The sequence below is a fragment of the Homo sapiens genome, chromosome 5, assembly GCF_000001405.40.
Source record: "Homo sapiens chromosome 5, GRCh38.p14 Primary Assembly".
Taxonomy (NCBI): Eukaryota; Metazoa; Chordata; class Mammalia; order Primates; family Hominidae; genus Homo; species Homo sapiens.
This window is the reverse complement of record NC_000005.10, coordinates 140053913-140065595: the sequence shown is the minus strand read 5'-3', so window position 1 is coordinate 140065595 and position 11683 is coordinate 140053913.

Here is an 11683-nt window from a genome sequence, read left to right as displayed (position 1 = left end):
TATGTTTAAGACTGTGTTTATATAGCTCTTAGTGGATTGTCTGTTTATGTATTTTTGCCTATTTTTCTCTAGAATTTGTGGTCATTTTTGTTATATTTTAAATAGTTTTTAAGAAGTAAATTTGGCTGGGTGTGGTGGCTCATGTCTGTAATCCCAGCACTTTGGGAGGCCAAGGCAGGAGGATGACTGGAGGCAAGGAGTTCAAGACCAGCCCTGGCAACATAGTGAGACCCTGTCTCTACAAAAAAATTAAAAAATAAAAAATTAACCAGGCATAGTGGTGCACACTTGTAGTCCCAGCTACTCAGGAGGCTGAGGCAGGAGGATCATTTTATTCCAGGAGCTCAAAGTTACAGTGAGCTATGATTGTGCCACTGCACTCCAGCCTAGGGTGACAGAGTGAGACCCTGTCTCAGACAAAAAAAGAAGAAGAAGGAAGAAAGAAAGAAAGAAAGAAAGAAAAAATAAATTTAAGACGTCAGCTCTTTATCTGTGATACATATTGTGAATATTGTATCCCAGTTTGTCATTTCCTTTTCTTATGTTTTGTCATGTAAAACATTTTTATTTTTATATCGTTACATTTATCAATATTTTATTTGTTTTGCCTCTGTATTTCAAATTATAGTTACAAAGCCTTTCCCTACACAGAGGTTAAAAAGGAATTCACCCAAGTTTTCTTCTAGAACTTGTATAGTTTTTTTTTTTTTTCCAATAAAGCTCTTGATCCATTTTGAGTTTATTCTTGTGTGTGGTATGAAGGGTGAATCTAACTTCCCCCCCACCCAATAGCTCTAATATGTTTTCTAAAGCCTAGAAGGTAATTCTCTGAATTGCTAGTAATAATTGGCTTTGGATTCTTGAACTATAGTTGACTTAGTTTTTGCTCTTTTTCACTCTTGCCTAGGCTGGAGTATGGTGGTGCAATCTGGGCTCACTGCAGCCTCAACCTCCCAGGCTGAAGGATCCTCCTGCCTTAGCCCCCTGAGTAGCTGGTACTCTAGGCATACGCCAACATACCTGGCTAATTTTTTTGTAGAGACAGGTTTCACCATATTGCCCAGGCTGGTCTCAAACTCCTGGGCTCAAGCGATCCTCCCACGTCTGCCTCCCAAAGTGCAGGGATTACAGACGTGAGCCACCATGCCTGGCCCCAATCTTTCTTTAGTGAACTTTTTTTTTCCCCCCGTGGGAGAAAAGATTTTCGAAAAGAGATAGAGAACTATGACAAGGACATTCGCATTCTAGAGGTCATGAGTGTCATTAATATTGCTTCCATCCTCAGAACTGATAGCATCTACAGTCTTTACTGTGTAGCTTAGGACTTCATTTACACTTGCCCGTATTATTTCTAACTGTTTCATAAATGTATTTTCTTCTCAATTAGATTGTGAATGTATATCCCATAAGTGCACATAGACATGATAGGCAACTTTTTTTCTGATTTTTACTTGAGTACATATTGTAACTACTTTTACATACCCTTGAATAGTTCATTGTGTATCTAACAGTAACAGAAAAATACTGATATTAGTTAATTTAAGTATTCCGGGTTGGGTCAGAGAAAGTGGTAGTAGATTTAATTCTATTTCTTTATCTCCTTTGTCTAGGCTCCAAACACTTTTAGTACACATATATATATATCCCAGTCTTAAGGGAGATTATACATTAATTAACATATCTTTACAGATGAGAACATAGAGACTTAGAAAGTGAAGGAAACAGTTTTAACGGTTTTTAAAATTTTTGAGCCCTATTTCATTGTAAAAGAAATTAAAAATTTTATTTATTACACTTTGCTTTATGTGAGAGTGAATCCTAGAAAAGTTTCTGTAGGTAATTTTTAGTTAATTTTATCATGATTTCAATGCTGGCTGAATGATGATAAATAAAAATCGCATACATGTATTCATATATAAAACCTCAAACACATACACACAATCTATCACCAAGATTAGGTGGACTGTCTCTTGTTCTTCTGCAGACTAACCTAAAGTTTAGGTTTTGTTTATACTTTTTCTCCAAGGCTTTTGTTGCTATTTCTACAAAGTTGATATTACCCATAAAATATTTTGGGGAGACGGACACACTGTGATTTATCCAGGGATCTGTACCCCTTTAGGAATGTCACTTTATGGTTTATGTCTTTGTCTTATATACCTTTCTTCTCCTTTTCCTCCTGGTGAATTCCAACTTAAATTTTAGAAACCTAACTTCATCATCACCTCCTTTGTGATATGTTTCTTGACAGAATTAAGCAGTCCTTGTTAGTGCATCTGTGCCTTGTACATACTTCTTTTGCTGTATTTATCATACTGCAGGGCATTTCTATGTTTACAGGTGTTTCCCCTACCAGTATGTTAACTTCTTGAGGGTAGAGCCATGTGCTCAGTATTTGATTACTTAACTGACTGGGTAGTGATAGAGGAGTAACATGAATGGCTGTCCAGGGGCATCAGCCTGGTGGAAAATGTTGAGAGTTGGTGGTGCACAACATTATTGTGGCTCTCTGGGAAAAGGAATTTCTTAAATCTTCTTTCTACTCTGTGAAGGTTCTAATGGGAGAAAGCACTGATATTTGTAGGACCTAGAATTCTTCTTACAAGTTTTATTTTTATTTATTTATTTTTTTGAGATGGAATCTTGCTCTGTCGCCCAGGCTGGAGTGCAGTGGCACGATTTTGGCTCACTGCAACCTCCGCCTCCTGGGTTCAAGCAATTCTCTGCCTCAGCCTCCCGAATAGCTGGGATTACAGGTGTGCGCCACCATGCCCAGATAATTTTTTGAATTTTTAGTAGAGATGGGGTTTCACCATCTTGGCTAGTCTGGTCTCGAACTCCTGACCTCAGGATCCACCTACCTCAGCCTCCCAAAGTGTTGGGATTACAGGCATGAGCCACCGCGCCTGGTCACGAGTTGTATTTTTTACATAAACAACAATTAAGAGAATTTAAATGAGAAAACATACCCACAGTGTCACTATCAAATCATCAGCTATTTTCATTTTTCCCTGTTTCTGGAGGTATTTATTCTTAAAATGTTGGATTGCTTCTATAAAGTGTTTTATTGTTTCCTGTATTTTAATTTTACGCAATAACCCCTCCTGATTTTAGGTTTTAAATGCCTTGTAGAGAGGGATCACTGTCATAATGCATTTTTATATCAACTTTACCACTTAAGCTCAAAGCAAGTATTCAGATTCTTGACTGATATTATTCAAGCCAACAAAGTATTTTTAGAGCCTATAATAGTTCAGATACTATATAGGCTGTCAGTATACAAAATTGAGTAAGGTGTAATCCCTGCCTTTACAAAAGTTGTAATCGAGGAGTCATAACTAAAGTACCAAGTATACATACTATACAGAAATCATTCATAGAGACGAATGTGAGTTGCATAGGAAATATTTATATTACTACCCATATAAAGTTCTTGAACTGAACCAAGGTTAAAGAATGACATAATAATAATAATAATTATTATTATTAATTATTATTATTATCATTTGAGATGGAGTCTCACTCTGTCACCCAGGCTGGAGTGCAGTGGTGCCATCTGGGCTCACTGCAACCTCCGCCTCCTTGGTTCAAGCTATTCTCCTGCCTCAGCCTCCCAAGTAACTGGGATTACAGGCGTGTGCCACCACACCTGGCTAATTTTTTTGTATTTTTAGTAGAGATGGAGTTTCACCATGTTTGCCAGGCTGGAGGAATGACATAATTATAATTATTATCCTGGCATTTGTTCATTTAACATACACTTTTGAGTGCCTACTGGGTGCTAAGGAGTAGCCCCCAATTAGTCTCTAGAACATGTCATTTTCATTATAGCAATTCTAACTCGCTGATAATAGTTTGCTTATTTATTTGTGTTTTGTATGTTTGTTTGTTGTCTATTTTTCCCCCCTAGAATGTAAGCTCCATGTGAAAAGCACCTAGCAGGCACTTTTTTTTTTTTTTTTTTGAGACGGAGTCTCGCTCTGTCACCCAGGCTGGAGTGCAGTGGCATGATCTCGGCTCACTGCAACCTCCACCTCCTGGGTTCACGCCATTCTCCTGCCTCAGCCTCCTGAGTAGCTGGGACTACCGGCACCTGCCACCACGCCCAGCTAATTTCTTTTTGTATTTTTAGTAGAGACAGGGTTTCACCATGTTGGCCCGGATGGTCTCGATCTCCTGATCTCGTGATCCACCCGCCTCGGCCTCCCAAAGTGCTGGGATTACAGGAGTGAGCCACCGTGCCCGGCCAGTAGGCACTTTTGAGTGCCAGGCACTCTTCTGGGAATACAGTATTGAACAAAACAACATGGGCTCTTTTCACATGGAGCTTATATTCTAGTGGGGAAAAACAGACAGCAAACAAACACACAAAAACCAAATAAGCAAACTATTATCAGCAAGTAAGAATTGCTATAATGAAAATGACATGTTCTAGAGACTGACTGGGGGCTACTCCTTAGGTGGCAATCATTTAAGATCCCTCTGAGGAAGCGACATCCAAACTGATACCTGAATGACAAGAGGGAGCCAGCCTTGCAAAGATCTGAAAAGATTTTTAGGCATAGAAAATAGCAAATGCAAAGGCCCTGGGGCTGGTACACAGTTGGTGTGTTTAAGGAACAGCAGGTTGGTGTGTGTGGCTGGAACTGCACTAAACTAACAAGAAAGTGACAGGACATAGGGTTGGAAAAGTAGGCAGAGGCCAGGTAATGTAAGACCTTCTAGGTTAGGGTAAAGAATTTTAATTTTATTCTAAATACAGTGGCAAATTTTGGAGAATTTTGAGCAGAGGAATGATATCCAATTTACATTTTAAAAAGCTCTTTGTAGGAAATTCATAGTTAGGAGGTGATTATGGTAGTCCAGGGTGGAAATGATGGTGACTTGTCTAAGTGATGGTAGTAGCTGGTAGCAGTGGAGATAGGAATAAATGAAAGGATTTGTGATATATTTTGGAGGTAGAGTTGACAAGACTGGGATTAAATGTGGTTGGTTAAGGAAAGAGAGGTTTCAATGTCTTGTAGGATTTTTGACTTAAACATCTATGTAGAGGGTCATGCAATTTACCAAAATAGGGAGGAATAAGTTTGAAGATGGGATTGGAAATTCATGTTCTTTTTTGAGAATGTTAAATTTGAGTTGCCTGTTAGACTTCTAAGTAGAGATGGCAAGAGGATATGTAGTTCTGGACTTCATGAAAGAAGTACTTGTATAGAAATACAAATGTGGTAGCTGAGAGCAGTGGCTCACGCCTGTAATCCCAGCACTTTGGGAGGCCGAGGCAGGCGGATCACCTGAGGTCGGGAGTTTGAGACCAGCCTGACGAAAATGGAGAAACTCTGTCTCTACTAAAAATACAAAATTAGCTCGGTGTGGTGGCACATGCCTGTAATCCCAGCTACTTGGGAGGCTGAGGCAGAACCTGGGAGGCGGAGGTTGTGGTGAGCAGAGATCATGCCATTACACTCCAGTCTGGGCAACAAGAGTGAAACTCCGTCTCAAAAAAAAAAAAAAAAAAAAAAAAAAAAAAAGAAAGAAAAGAAAAGAAAAGAAAAGAAAAAGAAAAGAAAAACACAAATTTGGGGGGAGTCATCAGCTCTTAGATGTATTTAAAGCCATGAAAGTGGATGAAATTATACCTATGGAATGAGGGTAGATGGAGAAAAGAAGGAGGTCCCTGTACTGATGCTGGGGGATTACTAACAATTTGAGGCTGATCGGAGGAGGAATATCCAGAAACAACTTTAAGAGAGTAGCCAGTGAGATAGAGTAAAAACCAGAAGTGTGAGATGTAACAGAAACCAAAAGAAGAAAGTGTTTGAAGAAAGGAGTGATGAATTGTGTCAAACATTGCTGAGAGATGGAGGAAGATGAGGAAAGGAGATGACTGTTGAATTTGGTGACAAGTTGGGATGTGTTGAGGAATCAGTAGGTGGGAAAGTGGAGACAGAGAACATGGACACCTAATTCAGGATTTTTTGCTATGAATGGAAGAAGAAAAATGGGACAATGGGTGGAGGTGATATGAATTCAATGTTTTATTTTAATGAATGATGTTAAGGCAGGTTTATTTGCTGATGGGAATGAGTCAACAGACAGACAAAAACTTATGATGTAGCAGAAGGAAGAGAGAATTGAGTGGAGTCCTTGAAAAGGCAAGAAAAGATAGGATCTGGAAAACAACTGCAAGTGCTGGTTTTTGACAGGAACAGGGACAGTTCTTTCAATGTAACAAAAGAAAGGTAGATAGTGTGAGTACAGGCATGGAAAGGTTAGCATATTTGGTAGTAGGAAGAAGGGAGAAAGCCTGTCTGATTTTTTCTTTCTTCCATGACATAGTTTAATTTATCAAAACAAAATAATATGCCTACCATTATGTACAAAGGAAGTATGCTAGATAGTCTCTAGATAGTCTTACCTAAGATATTGTTTCAGTATCCATTTCTCTCTAACAAACCACAGTTGATCCTTAAGCAACATGGGGTTAGGGACACGGACATCCTCTCTGCATGTGCAGTTGAAAATCCACGTATAATTTTTGACTCCCCCAAAACTTAACAAGTTAGTAGCCTACTGTTGACTGGGAAGACTCGTCGATAACATAAACAGTCAATTAACAGATATGTATGTTATATGTGTTATACACTGTATTCTTAAAATAAAGTAAGCTAGAGAAAAGAAATGTTATTAAGAAAAGTAAAAGGAAGAAAAAATATATTTACTATTCACCGAGTGGAAGTGGGTCATCAGAAAGGTCTTCATTCGCATGGTCTTCATTTTGGGTAGGCTGAGGAGGAGGAGGAAAAGGAGGAAGAGGAAGGGTGGGTCTTGCTATCTCAGGGGTGGCAGAGGTGGAAGAGGTGGAGGAGGTGGAAAGGCAGGCAGGAGAGGCAAGCACATTCTGTGAAACTTTTATTGGAAAAAAATCTGTGTATATGTGGCCCCGTGCAATTCAACACTGTGTTGTTCAAGGGTCAACCATACTTCCAAACTTAGTGGCTTAAAACAACAATTTATTACTTCTCACTTTTTGGTAGATTGACTAAGTGGTCCTTCTGCTTCACAAGAGTTGGCCGGGGTCTTGAGAATGGTGAAGTGTCCAGAATGGCCTCACTCTCATGGCTGGCAGTTTGTGTTGGCAGCCAGCTGGAAGCTCAGCCGGGGCTGCCAGCCAGAGTCCTTGGTTTTCCTCTATGTGAGCCTTTTCACACAGGTGGTTGGGTTTCCTCACCCCATGGCAGTCTCAGGGGAGGACTTCCTACATGTTGGTCAGCTGGATTGTTTGGGAGGGATTCAGTATTAGGTTAGTTTCAGCTTTGGGGACCACATTTTATAATTTATCTACTCATACAATCCATAACTGAGAAACAATATCCATATTTTGACTTACTAATTAAGACTGTCTGATAAGAATTCTTAACAACAACAGCTGTGATTTTTCTCAGACCTAGAAAATAAGTAAAGCTTCTTTTCCCCTTTGGTGACTTGAATTTCTTTTCCCAGGTAGAAAACTGCCACCTGTCACCAGGACTCCTCTTATTTTTCTGTGCACATGGCAGATTTATCCTGGGTGCAAAATTTAAAAGTCCCGTTTCCCCCGCCACACACACACTAGTTACAGCATTTTCCTGAGGCACTGTCAAGTACCAATGAAAAGGGAGCATTGGCTCCGTGATCACACACAGGAAAACGAAGAACCCTTGCTTCTGACCCCCTGGATGTAAACACAGTCAATGTGAAACTATACTTAAAGCTTTGTGTCCCCGAGATAATGAGAAAAGGAAATCTGAAAAAGTGGCATGTTCATGAGTAAGAAATGGTGGCGTCCAGAATATGGAAGAGAGCTAACTGACAAATCCCGAAATCATGTCGCTTCTGGGAAAAGCCACTTGGCCCATACAGATATCCCCTATAGCTTTTCATTGCAAAAAAGTTGGAACGTAAACATGATAATTCATTATAAAGTGAATTTTGTTTTCCCTTGAAGTTACATCACAAAAAATGCAAACAAAAAATACCTGAAATTGAATATAAAATTCCATTAGAAAAATGTATTTTTGGTGAGGAAGTGGTAGGGAAGGGAACTAGTCCGTGCAATATTTTAGCCTTGTATCACCCTTGGACCCTCATGTCTATTAGAAATTGAAATTATGGTTAAGCTGAAAAACCTTATCTTTGCCATGTTTTCTGTATCTTACAGCATTTTCCCTACTTTTGTCACCACCTCCCCTTTCCAAACCATGGAAATTTCTTTTATATATGAGGTTCTTTCACAACTGAAGGGTTCTTTCATATCTGAGGGCTGTGCAATAAACTTTCTACAATGATAGAAATCTTCTGTATTTTCACTGTTCAATACAGTACCCATTAGTTACATATGATGACTGAATGCTTGAAAAGTGGCTAGTGCAAATGAGAAACATAATTTAAAACTTTATAGTTAATTTTAGTTACTTACAACTAAAATATAAATAGCCACATGTGGTTGGTGACTACCACATTGGACAGCAAAGCCTGGTGTCTCACTTGTAGCTCATGGAATTCTGCTCCTCTTTTTCTCTAGATGATGAAAAACCTGAGCTGATGGACAATGCCCGTAAGTGTATTGTGATATTGCAGCTCAGGTTTTTCATTAATGTAATTACTACAAATAAATACTATATGATAGTACTTAGTAGTGTACTATAAGATAGTAAATATCATATAATATTTATTTGTAGTAATTTGATTAATGTTGTATCCCTCACTGGATCGCAGGCTTCTTAGGAGTAAGGACTTTGTCTGCTTTTTCCTCACTTTTATATTATGCCCGGCACCTAGTACAGTATCTGGAACATAGTAGGTGCTCAATAAAGATATGAGTAAATGAATGAATTAAAGAGTATCCAAACATCTTTGATATAAATGAGAAATGAGGACTCCACTATCTGCTGTGTGTGTGTGTGTGTGTGTGAGAGAGAGAGAGAGAGAGAGAGACAGAATGAGAGAGAGATTGATTCTGGAGAAGAATCTAAACATATGGAGAGGAGACAAAGACCAGGTTATTAAAGAGAAATATAATTGATTGCATAATACTTCAGAATCAGAAAATTGGCTTTATTAATAGTAAGACTCTTATTAAGCATTTACTATATGGCAGACTGTACCCTAAGTACTTTACATGAAGTATCTCATGTAATCCTCATAAGCTAACACTGTAGAATACGTACTATTATTATCCCCATTTTACAGATGATATGGAGGATGACAGGAGTAATTTGCTGGAGGTCACACAGCTAGTAAGTAGTAGAACATGCATTTAAACCCAGGCAGTCTGGGTTCAGAGCCTACCTTCTTAACCACAATGCTGTATTGCCTTCTGTTTGATTATGTCCATATGGTGACAGAAGCTTAGTGACCTCAAATGTCTGCATCAGTTCTTTTGTCTAAATTTAAGCTTCGGTAAGCCAGTATCTCCTGGAGGTTTAGCCTCTTTCCAGTGGTGCACGTGGAGGGGAGGTGGGAATAGTAGTATAAGGATAATAGGATATGAAAATCTGTACTGGATTCTTTTTTCTCAAAGAGTCAAACAAATATTTTTATATCTAGGATTTTTTGCCTTCTAATAATAAGGGGAAAATAAAGGCTTCTCTTGAATAAAACAAAATGCAAAATAATATCTCCCCCTTTTCCAAATCTCTGGTCTAGTAAGAGAGATGAATGAAAGCTAAGAGTTACTGTTATCTTCGTATGAATGAGAGTTTTACTTCGCTTTCCCTCTCCCCTTCCCTCCTCTCTATCATAAATTTAGTGCTCCATAAATAGTCCAAGGTTGGCATTCCTATTTAGGTGCTTCTTTGTTTCATGTAAGAATAGCTTATCTTCCTGCGCTAGTTATACTGTTTGCCCCCAGACTCCCACCCATCAGATTCACTCTTTGCCCTTCCCTGTCCTGCCTGGAACCCTGTACATTGACCTCTGTGGGTTCCCTCATCCTCTGGCTTCTGACTGTGGTTCATTCAGCAGAAGCTTGGCATGGGGGTAGGAGGAAGAGCAGAAAGGAGAGACTAGATTGTTTCTTCCCCCTTCTTTCTCCCTACTTTAGTGCCACATTCTTGCAGGAGCTGCCTGACGGCCCCTTCGATGTGGCTCCAGTACTTACTGGGATCTGGTGACACTTCTTCTTCACCTCACCCCTGTATGTCGAGGGAAGGGAATGTTTTACCACTCTTGCAGGCCCCTGGGTGTCTCTACTGAGTCTTGTTTCCCTTAACTTGGCCCACATCTTTGTAGATAGTCCCTTTAATAAGTTATTTTCAGTAAACTGTTTTGAATAGAATAGTATTTCCTGCTTGGGACTCTGCCTGATACATTTTGCCTCTAGTGGTTTTCAATTTTCTTAATGGCTGGAAGATGTACTTCCAAATAGATATAAGATTAAATAGGTCTCAGGTAGATTGTTCCACAAACTGGATTTTGAGATTGTGTCGCTTCGTTTCCAACATTGTTCAGGGGAGAGATAAGCTGAATGTAGCAAGCATGTGTACCCTGTTACATGTATCAGAGATAGCTCATCAGGCTTTTTTTTTTTTTAACACCTTGAATGAAATGAACTCAAGATTATTCATTCCCTTTGCCCAGAAACTCTGATCATCGAGCAATCTTGTGATTACTAAATTGGTTTCCTAGGTATTGTGATCCAGAGAAAGGGGTATCTTGTAGGGTGGACACCAACAGTTCAGATCGTGGAAAAGTTTAATCCTCTCTTATATTAGTCAAATGGATTTCTTTAAAGAAAAAAAGGAAGAATACAGTGTCCCTTCTTCCCCTTCCACATGCATACCACCTTTTTCCTTTCCAGCTTGCATTCCTCTTTTCTCTCTCTTTTTGGTTTTTGTTTTCGCTTATGGCTTCAGCCCTGTGTTAAAATGAAGATTCCATTACTCAGCTCTATAAACTAATCTGTATCCATTCTTCTATACTGTGCCCATGGTCTGTCTTCCTTCCTGTTTTGATAAAAGAATAATTTTTCTTGTCAAAGACCAGCTCCTCTCTTTGTGCTCTTACGCTCATCTCTCTTGTTTTCTCAAGGATTTCCATTCCTCACTTACTATCCACTTTCTCCCACAACAGTTTCTTTCTTCTTCTTAGAACATTCCCATTGCCATTTGAGCATGCTCTGACATCTCCTATTTTAGTAAAAACCCTTCCTTGACTCCATATCCCCCTCCAACTAGTGCTCATTTCTCTGTTCCTCTGCACAGCCAAAGTTTTTGAAACAGTTGTTTATACTGGCTGGCACCACTTCCTTACCTTTCATTGACTCCATTCTGGCTTCCTTCCAGGAAGCCATCACTCCACTGAAGCAGCTTTAGTCAAGGTCATTAGTGACCTCCATGTTGCTGAATTCTATTGCCACTTCTCATCTTACTCAGCCTCTTATAAACACTGGACACAGCTGACCAATCCCTTTTTAAGATACTTTCTTCACTTGGCTTCCATGGCACCATTCTTACAGTTTTCTTTTCCTGATTCCTCCTCCTCTATTCAACCTCTAAACTTTCGTTGCTGAGCACTTGAAATGTGGCTAGTGAGAAATGAGATATGCCATAAAGCATAACATTGACTCTGGGTTTCAAAGACTCAGTATTTAAAAAATGTCTCATGAATAATTTTTTATATGGGTACATGTTGAAATACTAAT